Source organism: Homo sapiens, chromosome 7 (genome assembly GCF_000001405.40).
Source record: "Homo sapiens chromosome 7, GRCh38.p14 Primary Assembly".
Classification (NCBI taxonomy): Eukaryota; Metazoa; Chordata; class Mammalia; order Primates; family Hominidae; genus Homo; species Homo sapiens.
The window spans coordinates 85,230,065-85,250,586 of record NC_000007.14 but is presented as its reverse complement, the minus strand read 5'-3'; the positions used below and the strand labels follow the sequence as shown (position 1 = coordinate 85,250,586).

General features: G+C 35.6%; 1 protein-coding gene across 3 annotated transcripts in view; it reads left to right on the top strand.

The window, feature by feature from the left end:
• SEMA3D (semaphorin 3D) overlaps positions 344-20,522 on the top strand; it is a 254,691-nt gene continuing 234,512 nt past the window's right edge. Inside the window, exons 1-2 of one of the 3 annotated variants that reach the window (NM_001384901.1) lie at positions 344-387; positions 618-734. The gene's annotated coding sequence lies outside the window, so the exon portion shown is untranslated. Of the gene's footprint in view, positions 388-428; positions 735-20,522 lie in introns of those variants that run through there. The other 2 variants (NM_001384903.1, NM_001384902.1) reach the window with 2 other exon arrangements.

Sequence of the window (20,522 nt, the reverse complement as noted above, 5' to 3'; positions counted from 1 at the left end):
CCAGTTAGGCTGCTCGGGGGTCAGGGGTCAGGGACCCACTTGAGGAGGCAGTCTGCCCATTCTCAGATCTCCAGCTGCGTGCTGGGAGAACCACTGCTCTCTTCAAAGCTGTCAGACAGGGACATTTAAGTCTGCAGAGGTTACTGCTGTCTTTTTGTTTGTCTGTGCCCTGCCCCCAGAGGTGGAGCCTACAGAGGCAGGCAGGCCTCCTGGAGCTGTGGTGGGCTCCACCCAGTTTGAGCTTCCTGGCTGCTTTGTTTACCTAATCAAGCCTGGGCAATGGCGGGCGCCCCCCCCCCCCGGCCTGGCTGCCGCCTTGCAGTTTGATCTCAGACTGCTGTGCTGGCAATCAGCAAGACTCCGTGGACGTAGGACCCTCCGAGCCAGGTGCGGGTTATAATCTCGTGGTGCGCCATTTTTTAAGCCTGTCGGAAAAGCGCAGTATTCGGGTGGGAGTGACCCGATTCTCCAGGTGCGTCCTTCACCCCTTTCTTTGACTAGGAAAGGGAACTCCCTGACCCCTTGTGCTTCCCAAGTGAGGCAATGCCTCGCCCTGCTTTGGCTCGTGCACGGTGCGTGCACCCGCTGACCTGGGCCCACTCTCTGGCACTTCCTAGTGAGATGAACCCGGTACCTCAGATGGAAATGCAGAAATCACCCGTCTTCTGCGTCGCTCACGCTGGGAGCTGTAGACTGGAGCTGTTCCTATTCGGCCATCTTGGCTCCTCCCTCAGGTATCGAAAATTTAATTTTTATATAACTTACTACAGACTTCTAGATGCAGTTTTAGAGAATTTTTTCTGGGGGAGAAAATGGAGTTCTGAATCTTAAGAATACAATAGGGAAAATTATATTTTTGTCTTCCAGTTCTTTCAGTTATATAGTTCAGGTTCTGATTAACACCACATATAACACGTGTTCACTAATATGAGTAAACAGATTTATTTTAAATGGAAAATTGGTAGGTCCTCAATTGTTTTTTAATTGATCATCAGTTAAAGAAAGTGTGATATTTTCAAGGGATAAGGTAGTTTCAAGGGATAGTTGGCTCAGAAGAGGTCTACTGTTCGAGTTGTATGTCAATATGGTAGACTGGGTGTAATTGGTAACCCAATATTGATACATTAGTATTAACTAAAGCCCATTCTTTATCCAGATTTTCTTAGTTTTTCCTACTGTCCTTTTTTCTATTCCAGGATCCCATGCATGATACCATATTACCTTTAATTGTCAGGTATCCTTCGGCTCTTCTTTCCTGTGTCAGTTTTTGAGGCTTTCCTTGTTTTTGATTACCTTGATTGCTGTGAAGATAATTGGTCAGATGTTTTGTAGACTGGGATTATATGTTTTGGGGAGGAAGAACACAGCAGTAAAGTGACATTCTCATCTCATCATTCAATAGGTTTTTTGTTTGTTTGTTTTTAGAACACTTAAAAAGACTATAGTTTAGAGTGATTTTAGGATAACAGCAAAGTTGAGAGGAAGAGATACCATATGCCCCTGCCTGTTCCCACACATGCATAACCTCTCCCATTGTCAACATCCCCTATCAGAGTGGTACATTTGTTACAACTAATTAAACTACATTGACAGATTATTTTTACCCAATGTCCATAGTTTACATTTGGGTTCACTCTTGGTGTTGTATATTCTATGGGTTTTGACAAATGTGTAATGTCTTATATCCACAATTGTAGTATCACACAGAAGTTTTACTCCTCTAAAAATCATCTATGCCCTGCCTATTCATCTATAACCTCTCTGCTAAATCCTGAGAACCACTGACTTTTTTTTTTACCGTTTCCATAGTTATGCCCTTTCCAGAATATGATTTATTAGAATCATACAGTATTTAGGTTTTTCAGGTTGATTTCTTTCACTTAGTGAAGTGCATTTAAGTTTCCTCCATGTCTTTTCATGACTGGATAGCTCATGGCTTTTCAGTGCTGAATAATATTCCATTGTCTAGATGTATCACGTTTTATTTCTATATTCACCTACTAAAGGACACCTTGGTTGCTTTCAAGTTTTGGCAATTATGAATCAAATTGTTATAAACATCTATGTGCAAGCTTTTGTGTGGCTATGCGTTATCAGTTCCTATGAGTAAATACCAGGGACCACAACTGCTGGATCATATGGTAAGAATATTTTTAGTTTTGTAAGGAACCACCAAACTATATTCCAAAGTGATCATGCCAATTTCCATTCCCAGTATCAATAAATGAGTGTGACAGTTACTCCACATTCTCAACAGCATTTGGTGGTGTCACTGTTCTAAGTTTTGGGCATTCTGGTAGTGTGTAGTAGTATCTCATTGTTGTTTTAAAGTGAATTTCACTGATGACATCTGGCCTACAATGTCTTTTCACAAGCTTATTTGCTCTGTGTATATCTTCTTGGGGAGGTGTCTGTTCAGTTCTTGGCCCCTTTTTTTGTTATCAGATTGTTTTCTTTTTGTTGAATTTTAAGAGTTCTTCACATATTTCAGTCCTGTATCTCATATGTCTTTTGCAAATATTTTGTCCAGTCTGTGGCTTGTCTTTTCAAACTTTTCACATTTTTTCTTTCATGAATTATGCCTTTTGCATGGTATCTATGTCATTGCCATACTCAATGTCACCTAAATTTTCTCTTCAATTATCTTCTAAAAGTTTTATGGTTTGGTTTTACCTTTATGCCTATAATGCACTTTGAGGTAATTTGCATGGTAAGGTCTGTGTCTAGATTCATTTTCTTGTTTCCAGATATCCAGCTGTTCTTGCATAATTTGTTGGAAAAATATATCTTTTCTCCATTGTGTTTCCCCTGTTTATTTGTCAAAGACCAGTTGACTATATCTGTGGGTTTATTTCTTGGCTCCCTATTCAGTTCTGTAAATCTACCTGTCTATTCTTTAGCCAATGTTACGTTGCCTTGATTACTACAGTTTTATAAGAAGTCTGGAAGTCAGGTAGTATCACTCCTTCTACTTTGTTTTTCCTATTCAATGTTGATTTAGTTACTCTGGCTCTTATGCCTCTCCATGTAAACTTGAAATCATTTGTAGGTATTCACAAAATAACTTCTTTTTTAAATGATTTTTTGAGATGCATATATACTTAACTGTTAATATATTCAAGGATTTTTAGTTTGTGCACATGATGTCTTAGTTAAGAAATCTTCCTCACTCTAAGACCACAAAATGACCTCTTATTGTTCTTCTACAGCACTTAAAGTTTTGCTCTTCACATGTAAGTTTGAATTACCCTGAAATTTATTTTTTATATAATGAGACAGCAATCTATTTTTTCCACTTTTCTTAATTTTCAAATGTTTCTGTGTGTGGATTTACTTCTGGGGAAAAGCTTAGGTGAATGTGAGACTTACCTTGTGTGCATCTCTTCTGTCAGTGATTATTCTCTGTGTTATTTCTTGCCATTTAAAGATTAATCAATATAGGCAGGATGTAACTTAAGAAACAGAAAATTTTTAGTAAGTTTGAATTTCTCTATGAGCTCCTTCCTGGTCTCATGCTCCTTACATTTATTCCCAGAGGCCACCACTGTATTGATATATATTTGACTTTTAAGTAAATGAAATTATTTTACCAAATTTTTCAGCGACTTACGTATACTTTCAGCATTATTTTTTTTTTAGCTTTTTATATTTTGTTGCAGGTAGTTGTAGTTTTTTTCACTGTTATATTGTATCAAATTTTATTTATACATTTTGTGTGGCAAGAAAATTAAGATGCTACTATACGGAGGCTCATCTCAACAAGCTTATGAGCATCCTTATACATGTCTCCTGGGTCCTGAATAAAAGAATTTCTTTAGGTTACCTACCAAAGAGTGGAATTCCAGGTCATAGGGAATTATTATCTTCAAATTTACTAGATATTATCAGGTTTTTTTCAGTGCTGGTAACAATACACCCTATATTCCCATTATTACATATCATCACCCAAACTTGGTATTTTCACACATCTAATTTACACAAACTAGTAGAAATGTATCTACTATGATTTATCTCCTTGAGGTTTTAATTTTTATTTCTCTAATATTGACAATTAAGCGTTTCACATATATCTGTGTCATTCATTTTTCACCAATTAGTTCACTCATTAAAATGGCACATTTACATTTGCAGTTGAAGGAAATGATTCACAGCTCCACAGAAAAAAAAATCTGAAGGAAGATGAAGTTATTGAGGGCCTCTTACAACTTTTGGAAAGTTATGAGAAAGTTTTCTATAGCTTTTTGTATGAAGTACTTCCAAATACACTTCTGTTGTCATTTGTGAAAATTACAACTCATCTGAATGAATAACTCAGTCTGCCTTAAATAATCTTATCTTTGCTGTGCTTAAAGATATACTATTGGAGAAGCTTTCCCCAAACTGAAAGCACAAATTGTAAACATAAAGAAGGCTCTTACATAAAGTTTTAATGACTGAAATTAAAATGGCATAGCCTAAATGAATATATTTGCATAATGAATAAATACATGTCGACATTAAATCATGCACATTGTCATGGAGACAAATAATAAATATATTCATTAACATCTACTCAAATTTTGTGGTTTTTATCCATATGTTCTACATCTTAGATTTTTTATTTGTTTGTTTTGCCATTTCTATTATGTTACCAAATTATTTTCCAGCAGATTTACTTGTTTATCTTTTATTCTTCCAATCTCACCTAGTTGCTTAAACTATGATATAGCCAAAGGCAAGATAATAAGTCTAGAAAGTAATACATGTTTTGTTACTATGTGAGAAATACCTTAATTGTAACTCTAATAGAGAAATCTTACTAAGAGAAGATATAATGAGAAATAATCTGTAGCTTTTAAACTAGCGTTTTTGTTGTACCCATTTAATCTTATGAAAGAAAAAAAATGCTATGTGAAAGATTGATAATTACTCACATATTTAATCGGCTTATCTTTGTTAGTTCTAGTTCATTTAAGCTTAACTGCATCCTAAGTAAGATAAATGTTGAAGTTTCATGTGTATACTGAGGATGGGAAACCAAAGGGTATAAAAATTTCAACTTGATTTAATGTGAAGTAAATACAAAGGAGTAAAGATATGTTACTGAGGAAAGTTTTTTGAGAAAGTCGAACATTATAGCTGAGTAAAGCTTTTAGAATATTTGTTTTCATAGTGCTAGTTCTTAAAAACAGGCATATAGTTGTCTGAATACTGTGCTATGCTTAAATTTCCACCAGTCTTTATTCAGGCACAATTCTGTAAAGAATTTTTCTTATTTTGTACTTCACAATCTATGTACTGAATCTCTATTCTCAGCCTCTGCAGGTTCTCTTGTTCTTAAATCATTCCCGTTCTATATTGTCCAATGATCTTCTTTTTAACTTCACATCCTTCCGTTTCCCAACCTTACGATTTTGAATTTTAATGCTTTTGTTTCGAGGTTTTGTATTTTTTGAAAGTTCACACATTAGATTCAGGATCTTAATGTGCCATACATATACCATTAACATACTCTATAAATTATAAATTGCTGCTACATCCCTCAAAAAGAAAGGACTTGTCACTTCATGTTTCACTTCAGTAACAAAATAGATTCTGGCCGGGCGCAGTGGCTCACGCCTGTAAATCCCAACACTTTGGGAGGCCAAGGTGGGCAGATCACAAGGTCAGGAGATCAAGAACATCCTGGCCAACGTGGTGAATCCCAGTCTCCACTAAAATACAAAAAAATTAGCCGGGAGTGGTGGTGGGTGCCTATAGTCCCAGCTACTCAGGAGGCTGAAGCAAGAGAATCACTTGAACCCAGGACTCAGAAGTTGCAGTGAGCCAAGATCGCACCACTGCACTCCAGCCTGACAACAGAGTGAGACAAAGTCTCAAAAAAAAAAAAAAAAAAAAAGATTGTGCAGTACATCCGGGATTTTGCCTGGAAGAAGAATAATTTAGATTTTAACACTACATAAAAATATTACCCCTCTAACTCCTGTCATTATTTTTTGCTTCCTACTTTAGACTGACACATACCTCCTGGACTATCGCAACCTAGAGATTTGCAGTTTATTTTATATTCAATGATATGTGGCTTGCACCATTGCAAATAATGTTTTATAAGGATAAGTATATAAACAAAATAATCACAAAGAATGGAGAAAATATATGCAGCAGTTTGATTATGCCCCTCTGAAAATCATATTAAGATTTGACTCCCAATATGGCAGTGTTGGTGGAAGTGGGGATTACTAGTGGGAGATGTTTAGATGATGAGGGTACCACCCTCATGAATAGATTAATGCCACTTCTCAGGAGTGAGCGAGTCCTCACTTTTGTGGAAAGGGATTAGTTTTTCTGAGAGCAAGTTGTTATAGGTGAGTGCAGCTTCTAGTGCATCTCTCTTTGCTCATGTCCACTTATCTTTCTTCTTCTCTGCTGTTATGAAGCAGCACCAGCTCCTCATCAGAAGCTAAGCAGATGCCAGTTCCATGCCCTTAGACTTATCATCCATGAGAATCTTCAGCCAAATATGCCTCTTTTCTTTATAAGTTACCTAGCCTTGGGTATTCTCTTATAACAATACTAAATGGACTAAGACAACATACATTGAGTATATCAGATACTTAAACAAGATATATACTGTAACTTGATCACATCCCCATAACATACCTAGTAATTAATTTCTTGAATGCAGTAAACAACACTAGTGTTGCTGAATATTCTTATTGTCAATATGAGATAGTATGGACGTGATTTATAAAATAAATTCTGAAATTGCAACATCTTCAATAGGAAAATGTTAAAATAAATTCAGAATAAAGCTATTCTTATACTTTCCAATATAATGAGTTCCTGAAAAGAACTGCAAGTCAAATATTAAAAACATTCCGTAGACTTCACATTTCACGTGGAAGATTCCATTTTTTTTGTAGTTAAAAAATAAAGTACAGATTTCTGGGTTCTGGTCCAGCAGATAAGGGGCTTAGAATTTGCTATTCCATCTTAACAACAAGTAAAAAGCTGAACAAACTAAAAAATCAGCAAGTCTTTTTAAATTTGTCAGAGAAATGAAGTCATAGGGCAAACTTTGCACCAAAAATTTGAGACAGACAGGCAAATACAAGAATCACAATTTACAGAGCAGAAACCCACAAACGGACACCTCTAGACGAACCAGTCTTGGGGTAGAAAAACCAGTACCGGAATCGACAAGTTGCTGGAGAATTAGTGTGAACAAATATGTGAGAGAAAAACTCCACTCATGGGGAGCCCTACACTTTTGTGAACTTTACCTCCAGGAGCTCTTACAGGACCTCACAGAGAATAACAGAGAAAAAAAAGTTTTGTGGTTCCAGCAAAGGGAAGGAAAAGCAAACCATTTTGAAATATGCCATTACATCCTGTCCCCATAAACAAGGCTTGCCTTCAGGATAAATTATTTTACTAGAACTTAACCTGCTGAGGTTCCATCAGAGACTTACTTAGGAGAAAGGAAATACCCAACAGAAGCCCACTCTATCTGTCTCACCTCACTTGGTGGTGTGGGGGACTGAAGCAGAACTGGTTGGTGATAACAGTCCAGAGTCACAGGCTCAACAAAGCCTCAGACCTATCCGTAAAACTATATAATATTTTCTCTCCCCGCAAACCTTACTATGACATTACTAAAGCCTTATACCACAGTTCCTTTTCTCTACTACATCATGTCTATGTTTGATGACAAAATTACAAGCCTTACTAAAGGTAAAAAATCAGGTTTTGTTTCATTTTTTTAATTTCAGATAGAAAAGCATACTTCAGAGAAAGAAAAATGTCATGGATAAAGACAGTACTACATAATGATAATTTGGTTAATAATCAAAGAAGAGTTAATTCTTAATGTTTATACACCCAAAAACAGAGCTTCATCAAAATATTTGAGGCAAAAACTGGTATAGCCATAAGGAGAAGTAGATAAATCCAATATTATTGTTGGAGACAATGACACCCCTGTATCTGAAATAGACAGAACCAGCAAGCAGTAAATCAGTAGGAACAGAGTTTAAGTCAACAGTACCACTAAACAACAATGTTTGCTCTAAGGCCACAATGAAATTAAACTAGAGACAAATAACAGAAAGATAGCCAGAAAAATCTCAAAATGCTTGGAGATTAAATGACATACCTTTCTATAGCACACAGAGCATATAGGTCAATAAAAAATATCTCAGAGACATTTAAAAAATGTATAGAAGTAAGTTGAAATGAAAATACAACTTATCAAAATTTGTGAAATGCAGTAAAAGCAGTGATGAGAGTACAATTTATAGCACTGAATAATTATATTAGAAAAAAATGTAAAATTATTAATCTAAGTGTCCACCCAGGAAGCTACAAAAAGAAAAGCAAATTAAATTCAATGTAAGCCGAAGAAGATAAATAATAAAAGTTAGAAATGTATGAAAATGAAAACAAGGAATCAATACAGAAAATCAACAAAACCAAAGGCTGATTCTTTGAGAAGGTCCATAAGATGGATTACTTGCTTGTCAGATTAACAAAGCAGAAAACAAAGGTGACACAAATTTCTTTTTTTTTTATGGTAGCTCTATTTTTAGTTTTTGAGGAACCTCCAAACTGTTCTCCATAGTGGTTGTATGAATTTACATTCCCACCAACACTGTACAGCGGTTCCCTTTTCTCCACATCCTGGCAGGCATTTGTTATTGCCTTACTTTTGGATAAAATCCACTTTAAATGAGGAAAGATGATATCTTATTGTAGTTTATTTATTTATTTACTTATTTATTTTTATTTCCATAGGTTTTTGGAAAACAGTGGTATTTGGTTACCTGAGTAAGTTATTTGGTGGTGATTTTGTGAGATTTTGGTGCACCCATCACCTGAACATTATATACTGAACCCAATTTTTAGTTTTTTATCCCTCACACCCTTCCTACCCTTTCCCCACTGAGTCCCCAAAGTCCATCGTATCATCCTCATAGCTTAGCTCCCACTTATGAGTGAGAACATAAAGATGTTTGATTCTCCATTCCTGAGTTTCTTCACTTAAAACAAGCCTCCAATCCCATCCAGGTTGCTGCAAATGCCATTAATTCATTTCTTTTATTGCTGAGTAGTATTCATATATATATATATATATATATATACACACACACAGTTTCTTTATTCACTCATTGATTGATGGGCATTTGGGTTGGTTCCATATTTTTGCAATTGTGAACTGTGCTACTATAAACAAGCTTGTGCAAGTATCTTTTTTGTATAATAACTTCTTTTCCTCTGGGTAGATACCCACTATCTGGATCAAATGGTATGCTGGATCAAATGGTAGTTCTACTTTTAGTTCTTCAAGGAAACTATACTGTTTTCCATAGTGGTTGTACTAGTTTACATTCCCACTAGCCGTATAGATGTGTTCCCTTTTCACTGCATCCATGTCAACATCAGTTATTTTTTGATTTTTTTATTATGGCCATTCTTGCAGGAGTAAGGTGGTATTTCGTTGTGGTTTTGATTTGCATTTCCCTGATAATTAGTGATGTTGAGCATTTTTTCATATGTCTGTTGGCCATTTGTATATCTTCTTTTGAGAATCATCTATTCATATTCTTAGCACACTATTTGATGGGATTGTTTGTTTTTTTCTTGATAATTTTGTGAGTTCCTTGTAGATTCTAGATATTAGTCCTTTGTCAGATGAATAGATTGTGAAGATTTTCTCCTACTCTGTGGGTTGGAAAGATGACACAAATTTCTAATAAGAGAAATGACAGAAAGACAGCATTAAAATCCCACAGGCATTTAAGTGATAATAAAGGGATGCTATGAGCAAAATTATGCACACATATTTGATAGACTGGGTGAAATGAATCAATTCCTTGAAAGACATAATTATCTGCCAAAGTTCACATAAGAAGATATAGATATTAATTGGTCTATATCTTTTAAAACATTTAATCAATAATTAACAACTTTTAAAGAGAGGAAACACCAGGCCCAGATATGTTCACTAGTGAATTCTACCAAATATTTAGGGAAGAAATTATGCCAATTCTTTGCAGTCTAATCTACAAAGTATAAGCAGAGGGGAATACTTCCAAACTCATTGTATGAGGTAACCATCGCTCTACTATTAAAACCAGAAGAAGAAATTATTAAACTACAGACAAATGTCTATCATGACATGGTTGCAAAAATCATCAACAAAATATTAGCAAATCAAATCCAATAATACATACAAAAAATAATACATCACATACAAATGAGATTTATCTCAGCCATGCAAGGCTGGTTCAACATTGGAAAATCAAGTAATGTAATCCATCATATCAACAATCTAAAAAGAAAAAAAATCGTATGATCATATCAATCAATGCAGAAAATGCACTTGACAAAAATCTAACACTCACCCTCAGCAAACTAAGAATAGAAGGGGACTTTCACATCTTGAATAAGATCATCTACAAAAAGCCTATAGTGAACATCATACTTAATAAGAAACTTAAAGCATTTTTCCTAAGATCAAGAAAAAGACAAGGATGTCCCCTCCCACCAGAGCTTTTCAACATTTTGTTGGAAGTCTTAGCTAATCAAATAGGATAAGAAAAACAAATGAATGTTAGACCTAACAGGAAAAAAGAAATAAAACTATCTTTGTAGAAAACATGATTATGTAGAAAATTAAAAAGAATCCAGAAAATAACTTCTGGAAAATAAATAGTTACAGGTTGGTTACAGAATACGAAGTTAATATACAAAAGACAATCGCTTTCCTTTATAACAGTAATGAGAAAGTGGAATTTGAAATTAAAGATACAACACCAGAGTGCACAATGTGAGTTAAAAGAAGCAAAAAGTGAAACAGGTAGTAGCTATCGACTACAACTGGCTCAAACCATTCAGTGAACTTGTGAAAAAACTTCAGTCCAACTGAATGTTAACGTTTGTGAGTACAGTTCCAGCATAATTTTCCTTAGTTTATTATGAAGCATATATTGAGAGTTCAGAAGTGGTCAGCATCACCTAGGAGCTCATAGAAATGTCGACTCTCAGGTGTCTCTGCAGACTTTCTGTGTCAGTTAATTTGTGCTGCTATGACACTGTGCCACAGATTGGATAATTTACAAACAACAGAAATGAATTTCTCATCATTTTGGAAGCTGGGAGGTCCAAAAGCAAAGCACCAGCAGGTCTAGCATCAGTTAAAGGCTACTGTCTGCTTCGAGACGATGCCCCACTGTTTCCTCACGTGGCAGTGGAAGAGGAACAAAAACAGGCCTAAGCTAGTTCCTTAGCTTTTAGAAGGCACTAATCCATTTACAAGGGTGGAGACATTACAACTTAATCACTTCCCAAAAGGCCTCACTCTTAATACTACCACAATGGAGATTAAGTTTCAACATGAATTTGGGAGGGGATACATTTAAACCGTAACACATACTAAATTTGAATCTGCATTTAGCAAGATCCCCAGGTGATTCCTAACACACTTTAACATTTGAGAAGCACTGAAATAGAAATAATACAATTGATAAACCTTAATAAGGTGTGTATATTTTACCTGATGGCAACGAGAATGCAATAAATAATTTTAAGTACATTTATAAAAATAATAAATACAATTTAGAAAATTTAAAGTTTTTTAAAATGCAGTACTATTTACATTAGTACTGCCCAAATAAAATACTGAGGTATAAATCTAAAAAACTATGTACAAGATCTATAAAAGAAAAACTACAAAACTCTGATGAAACAAAAGAAGGACAAAATAAATGAAGAGAAATTCTATATTCATGTGCAGGAAGACTCAATATTGTCAGGTTTCCAATTCTTCCCAACGTGATCTACAGATTAAATGCAATCCCAAACAATAGCTCAGAAAGTTAGTTTGTGGATATTGACAACCTAAATCTAAAGTCTGTATGGAAAATCCAACCCCAAATGGCCAAATTAACATTGAATGAGGAAAGCAAAGTAGGAGTATTGACACTACTTGACTTCCAGAACTACTAGAAGGCTCCAGTAATAGTGACAGTGTTGTATTGGAGGAAGAAGAGACAGATTGGTAGAATAGAATAGATAGCCCAGAAATTGACACAATAATTGTAGCCCATTGATTTTTGACGAAAGAGCAAAGGCAATCCAGGAATAAAGACATTTGCAACAAATGATGATGGAACAACTGGACATCCACATGCAATAAAATGAATTTACCTGCAGATTTTACACCCTTCATAAGAACTAATTTTAAGTGGATCATAGATCTATATGTAAAATGAAAACTATAAAACCTCTAGAAAATAAAATGGGAAAAAATATAGGTGACATTGGGTATGGCAATAACTTTTTAGATATGACACTAAAGGTACAATGCATAAAAGAAAGAAGTGATAAGCTGTACTTTACCATAGACTGAAAGAAAATATTTGCATAAGGTACATCTGATAAAGGAAGTTATCTAAAGTACACAAAGAACTCTTAAAATTCAACAATAAGAAAACAAACCAATGGATAAAAGAAACGTGCAAAATACCTGAACAGATACATCATCAAAAAATGTACAGATGGCAAGCATTTGAAAAGATGTTCAACATTGTATGCAATTAGGAATTTCAAATTAAAACAGTACTGGTATCCCACTACACATATTTTAGAATGGCCAAAATCCAAAACACTGACAACACCAAATGGTGGTGAGGATGTGGAACAACAGAAACTCTCATTCATTGGGGATGAGAATGAAAGATGGTGCAGCTCCCTTGGAATTGTGGTTTCTTACAAAATAAATATAAGATCCAGTCATTGCATTCTTTAGCGTTTACCCAAATGAACTGAAAACTTACGCTCACACAAAAGCTATTACATGGATGTTTATTATTGGAGCGTTATCCTCAATTGTCAAAAGTTGGATGCAACCAAGAAGGCCTTCAATAGGATGAATAGATAAAAAATTGGGGTACATCAGGCAATAGAATATTTTTCAGCAATGAAAAGAAATTAGCTATCAAGCCATGAAGAGACAAGAAGGAAATTTAAATGCCTTTTACTAAATGAAATAAACCATCTTAAAAGTCTACATACGGCATGATTTCAACTATATGACATTCTGGAAAAAGCAAAATTATGATGACAATATTAGTGGTTGCCACAGGTTAGCAGACAGGAAGGTATGAGTATGCAGATCACAGAAAATTTGTAAGGCAGAGAAACTGTTCTGTATGATACTACAGCAGTGGATAGGAGTCATTATAACATTGATCTAAATCCATAGAATGTACGCCACCTCAAGTAAATCCTAATGTAAACTATGGGCTTTGACAACAATTTGTAGATGTACTTCCATTGATTGTAACAAATTTATCACTATGGTTTGGGATGTTGATAGTGAGGAAGGTTGTGGTGTTTAGAAACAGAGGTATATGGGAATTCTAACTGTATGTTCTGCTGAACACTGCTGTGAACCTAAAACTGCTCTAAAAAAGTTTATTAATTTAAAAAAGAATTATTCAATCCCTTAATTATGAGTGCATGAATACTGTTGAAATCTGAATAATTCCAATGAATTTCACCAATGTCAATTTCTTGGTTTGATTTTTTAGTATATTATTACAAAAAGTTATTGAAGAAACTGGGTAAAAAAATACAACAAATCTCTGTACTATTTCAAATGCATGTTAATACACAATTACATAAAAATTAAAATTTATTAACACTGCCTCCTCCTTTACACATTTTTTAAAATTCTTTAGCTCTAGCATCCTGTGCCTGTTCTTTAGCTTATGTACTTTACTCAAAATTGATACATTATCTGGCTTAATTCAAATTAGAATGCAATTGATAGTTAAAGGTTCACTATTTAAAACACCAAATATTTGTTTCATTATTTCTGCTTTATCTTATCATATTAAGTTTATGAGATGATTTTTAAAACTAGTGGCATTATTTTTATTTTTCTGTATACCAATAATTTTATAAAAATTCAAAACAAAGCATTAAAAATTAAAATATTGTCTGGGTGCGGTGGCTCATGCCTGTAATCCCAGCACTTTGGGAGGCCAAGGTGGGCAGATCATGAAATCAAGAGATCAAGACCATCCTGGCCAACATGGTGAAACCCCATCTCTACTAAAAATACAAAAATTAGCTGGGCATGGTGGCTCGTGCCTGTAGTCCCAGCTACTCAGAAGGCTGAGACAGGAGCATTGCTTGAAATGGGAAGTTGGAGGTTGCAGTGAGCCGAGATCATGCCACTGCACTCCAGCCTGGGCAACAGAGCAAGACCCCATCTCTAAATAAATAAATAAATAAATAAATAAATAAATAAATAAATAAAATAAAATAAAATAAAATACTAAATCATCTAGCCAACAAATGCAAGTGTTTTAATAAATATAATGACCTACAAAAAGGAGTTCTTGGGTTGCAGGTAGTGTCACTAGGAAACAGCTTGAAATGGTCATAATTCTGCTCATGGTAGCTCATTTGGTATCTGAAAGCCAGTTAGAGGGGTCAATGTGTAATTGCCTTATACCTAACTACTGGGATGTCTGAAGTTACATATGAAAATTGGGGATAAATAAAGTAGAATGGCATAAGGTCTCAAAGGGGGCCTTACAAAATTTTAGTTGTACAGAAGTAACTCATATACTAAGAAATTTTTAATAAAGAGAAATTGTTATTTTTAAGCTTAGAGATTGAAGAAATTAGGATGTTTCTGTAAATAAAATGCCAGCCACCTCTCCTATTCCCTTCAACTCCAACCTGCCATGCTCCTAAGACTGGCTTCACTCAGACCTGCGGTGGTATTCCCTTCCTACTTATGGAGAAAACAGATATTTGGCATGAAATTGTACCTACATAGTCACCATTTTCACCTTCTGACACACACATTATTCTAGGATAATTCCTTCACTTATGCTTAAAAATCATGACTTCTATTTCTTCTAAAATATTTTTATGAATATAAATTGCTTTATCTTTCACCCATATTATACATTTTACCATTTCAATTAGCTCCAAATCCTTAGCTGGGTTCTGTTCAGATATCAAGAATAAAGAAAAATTATTCCCTTGAACAGAGATCCTCCTTTAAACATTACCTTCCTTTTCCCTCTGAGAAATAATAATTCAGTTGATAAGACTTAGTTATATGGTGAAATCAGCAAACTAATGATCTTTTTTGTAATGTCCACTAATCAGTGTTCTAGATCTTTTTCTGAAAAATTAGATTTTTAAATTACTGATGAATAAGACAAGAGCACCCAATATTTGCCTTATAAATACCCCCGACAACATACTTGGTAAGACACTCAAATTCTGTTAGACAAGAATTGTTTTTACACATTCAGAACATACCACTATAAGAAAATTTGGAAGAGAAATAATGTGTATATAAGTATATATATGTTTTCTAATAGTAGCAGAGTTGTGATAATCCCAGACAGAAAATTTTTCTAGAAAGGGAAAATAATACCATACACCAACACTATTATTCTCTTCCTTACTATGCCCAGAGGTGCTACTGAGCAGTGCTAGGACAGTTATATATGGCTTCTCTGTCTGAAGATCTTGTTGGGGTTAATGACATACACACCTGTGTCAGCTCCAGTGCAAACTGCTCACTCCCCAAGCTGCTGAGAAATTCCTTAAGAATCAGTGTTTATCTGAAAGCCCGAGGGCCGCTAGCCAGCCCTGGTTGAGAAAGCCTGTGCTTAGACATATCTGACAGAAATCTGGGCAGCGATGCAAAGGGACTCTTCCTCCTTTTCCTTATTTTTCAGTTTGTTTTGCCAAGCTATAAATCCTAAATGGAATAATTAAAGTGAATAATACTATTTGCTTCATTATTTCTTGCAAACTGTCAAGATCATTTTAGTTCCTTTAACACACCTGTTATTTTCTTTTATCATTATTCTTTGGAAAACTAATTTTACACTGGATATCTTTTTCTCTCTATGCAAGATTGAGAGTAAAAAGTTTTCACTTTATAATCCTTTCATAAATTTTTCTGAGCTTTTATTGAGCTTTTCTGAGCTTAAAAGCTCTGTAGGTGCAGCCCTCAAGCAACTGCTAGTGGAGATGGCTCAGATGTTTGCTGGTGAGCAACTCCAGTACAGTGGTCATTTGCAATAGGACCACTGATCTCTCAATCTCTCATTTCTCTCTCAATGGCTCTGCTTCACAGCTGCCTTCAGTCTGGCCCGAGGAAAAAATATTCTAGTGGACAGTATGATAGGAAACTACTTTAGTTTCTCTCAGGAAGTTTAGTGTCTTTTATCTCTTCCAGCACTTTACTGAAGGTGCATCCAGTTCTGATCTCTTTCTCGCAGTCTTCAAGTATTGCCCAGGGACACTACAAAGATAACAGATAAAAATTAGTTATTAAGCCCTTCATCTTGGCAGGTGGCCTTTCTGGGGGTCTCAGGGAGCACACCCACTCTGCTTCCAAAACCCTGAAAAGCTTCAGTGGAAGCTGTTTTGTTTTTATGCTGGAAACAATAAAGAGAAACATTGTAGACTGCATTCCTCTTTACCACCAAAAACTTCAGTTTGTAACCTTAAAAGTCAAGAATACATTCTCTAACATTATCAAACTAAGGAAACTAAACATTGATAAAATTATATTGTCTAATATGCTTTCTTCATTCAGGTTATAGACAGTTATCCTGATAACATCATTAATGGCATTTTCCCCTGATCTAGACCCAGTTCAGGCTCTTATGTTGCTATGAGTTGCCATGTCATTTTGGTCTCTTTTAATCTGGAAGAGCTCCAAAACCTTCCTTTGTCTTTCACAACGAAAACATTTTTGAAGTTTGGCATATTGTTTTGTAGGAGAAGCTTCTATTACTGTTTTTATTCTTGCTTGTATTGGTATCTCTTATTCAACGTTAGCAATCAGATAAAACTAGTAAAACCAGACTGATCTCCACATGCAAAATGATTACAAGCACCATCTTTATTCACTTTCAACACCACTATTAATAACAACAAAGTACGGGAGGGCAGGAGTTCCACAAGGAGACTTGCTGTCCAGGTAAACATAATGTGAAGGCCAGACTAAACTGAAGTTCCAGAGTACTTATCTGTCTACTCATCTTCTGCTCTGTGCTTTCTCATGAGATTATCTAGCCTAATCACATATGTGCAGTTTCCTTGCCTTCTGGTAAGGATTTAGAAGTAAGGCAGTATTACTCTCTAATTCTATACATGGAAACTTACTCAAGGCTACTCACACATTCGAACTTGATCACTGGAAACCAGTTTCATTTGAGGGTACTAATCATCTCAAAGGCTGAGCCATTCTAGCATTTCAACAGTGTACTCTGTTTCTTAAATTGACTTTTCATTCAAGTAACATCTTTTTTTTTTTTCATTCGCGCTAGCCGTTGTTCAAAACCATTTCACCTGGCATTGAAGAGTTTTTTCTAACATCAACACATTTTTTTCAGTAATAGGAAAAATGATTTCCTCAAAATAATGTCCTCATGATGAAATCATATTTACTCCTTGGTCAGAAAATATGTTTGACACTGAGCAGAGGTCTACCGTTAAATTTAATAAGTTAAATGTAGATTTTCTTTCCCTTCTCAGGGAATGAAGAGGATTTAAAGAGGATTGTGTGATGTTGCTAGAGGGTAGGGACAAGTTTAAGGATGATTTTCTATGTCTCTCCCTCTCCATTCAGAAATAAGGACTCATAAAGGGTTAATGGCCAGGCATATAAACGCATGAAGTTGCATTAGAACCACAATTTATTTGGCACACATAGCACAGCAGATATTCCCAAGAGAGCTAGTTTACTTGCTTGTTTATTTGTTTCAATAGATTTCACTTTTTAGAAAAGTTTCACATTTATCTAGTTTGATTTTAAGGAAGTCTCTAACCTCCACCTGTACACTCTTAGCTAGTAGTTATTCCTACTATCAATATTTCAGGAGAAGCCTAAGTCTTTCAGGATCCCCTGAAAAAAATGATACGACAATAAAAGAGAAAAAGAGATTATTGCTTCTCGTTTAGGGGTGCTATTTTGTCCGCAATAAAACTTAGTTGCACAAGATTCACAAGCTAATGATGCTTGTTTCACAGTCCATGTGCAGGAGGATATTATCCCAACTTGCCCAAGCATAAATACTAAGATTTTCTTTCTACACTGCCACCACCTTTTTTACGGAAATCTTTCAATCATTTGTTAGAGGTTCTTACAAATATCCTGAATTATTAGAAAAACAGAGCAATTCAGATGAGGGTTAGCCAAGTGTTCCAGACTAAGTGATTGTTCTTCTGGATGATGTAATGGTGATTTGCAGACAACTTTCAATCCTGAGCTCACACCCCACAACAATTAGTCTTACAAAGCTAACAAGCAATGACATAATGGCACAAAAAAATATTGGCCTAGCTTCCATGTGATTCCCCAGCACTGATAGGCTGAGGGACAGTTAATTTCTGAGGCCAACTCACTCCTCCTCCCAATGCCAAATGCACTCATTTTTCGTAGCCAACACTCCTGCCTCCAGATCATATTCCTATATCTGTTTTCTGTCCCAACCCTGGTAATCATCCACTTATTTCCTAGTCCATTAAATAGAGTGGGTGAATCTTTTTCGTTTTCACTGGAATTCGACAATTTTTGCATAAACTTTATTTTCTACTTTCCTCTAACATTCTTTTTGATATACAGTGACCATATTTTTTAAGAAAAAAATGTTTTTCCTCTTTTTACTCTGCCTAAAACAGTACCACTTTTCCCTTAGCCAATGTGAATGCCTCTAACTGACTTGAAGAAAGTTTGTATGAAAAAAAAGATGGAAAAATGCAAAGAATACAATCTTAACACATGTTCTTACTGTATAAGAAACCCCAGGCCTGGCGCAGTGGCTCACGCCTATAATCCCAGCACTTTGGGAGGCTGAGGGGGGCGGATCACAAAGTCAGGAGATCGAGACCATCCTGGCTAACACAGTGAAACCCTGTCTCTACTAAAAGTACAAAAAATTAGCCGGGTGTGGTGGCAGACGCCTGTAGTCCCAGCCACTGGGGAGGCTGAGGCAGGAGAATGGCGTGAACCCGGGAGGCGGAGCTTGCAGTGAGCCGAGATCGCCCCACTACTGCACTCCAGCCTGGGTGACAGAGCGAGACTCCGTCTCAAAAAAAAAAAAAAAAAAAAAAAAAAAAAGGGAAAGATTGGTTTTACGAGAAGGGTTGGAATAATTCAATGATGATTTGGAGATTTCAACACTTGGATGCTTTCTAAAAAACATACAGCAGTTTAAAAAAATAAAGAATGGAATATCCATTTCAGGAAAATTAATGATTAATTTGTCATTGTGGATGTTGATTTGTCAATAATCATAATATATCAAGATGGATACGTACGATAAAGTAGACGCTACAGCATAGTAAAAGGGTTGGATAGAAAGGAAGAGAAAGCCAAAGATAGAATCCTGGCACTGTCTACTTTTAAGACAGAGAAAGGAAGAGACCTGAGAAGACACAAATGAAAAATAAAAACAAAAAACAGTCACACTGAGAGAACTAGAAAAGAACGTTTTAAGAAAACAACATCTACATACCAAGAAAACACATTCCTCAAAGACAAGAAAGTGTAAACTATTACAGAAACTGAGCCCCAAGTGTTCAAGAACTGGGAGTAAAGCCCACTATTAGAGGGAAGTTGGTGTTCTTGTTGAGTTTGTTGGTTTGGCAACTGAGTATGAAAGGCAAGCCAAATGGGACTATAAAATGCAATAAGCAGGTAGAAATTACTCCATTATGTTCTTCGACATGGAGAGGAAGCAGACTAGTTTAACGGTTGCATGAGGAAGTAGAAGGTTTGAGAAAGTAGACGACATTTTAATGCATGGATGAACTAAGCATACATTCAGGAAATGAGCAAACAGCCAAGTAAGAGAGGAGATCTAAAGACCATGGAAGAAGTATAGATATTAACAAATTAAAATTCAAAGTAAATGAGCAAGGAGGATTCAACACATTAATAGGAGATATACTTTTAATAAGTAAAACTGGAAAGATATCGAGGAAAAGGGAAATGAAAACACTTCATACTGGACGACTTCAAGCTCTACAATGTAGGTTATGAGATACGTTGACTGTTTTAGTGAGGGTGAGGAATAATTGTAGAATATAAAAATTATGTGAAACACTCCTGGAACTGTAAACACTGAGGATCCTTGAAGGATTGATCCCATGTATATGCACTGAATCCAAAGTGCAGCTCAAAATCAACAACACAGAAACATGCTGTAGAGATATCCCAAGTTGGATATTGGTAAAGTTGGTTAAGGTTATAGTAAGTGTTCAAGCAATGCCATTATTGAAAAGGCTGGTCATAAGCAGAGGCATGTGATTCTGGAAAGCCTCTAAAAAGCTGAGTGAAGAGTGGCTGAATGAGACACAGAGAAATGTCATGGTAGCAAAAATCTGATTCAAGAGAATGGAAGAAGTGAACAATGTGAAAAGGAGAGTATTGATTAAGATGTAGAAATATGGATATAATCAAAGCTATTTTGCTGCACATTTATCTGGAA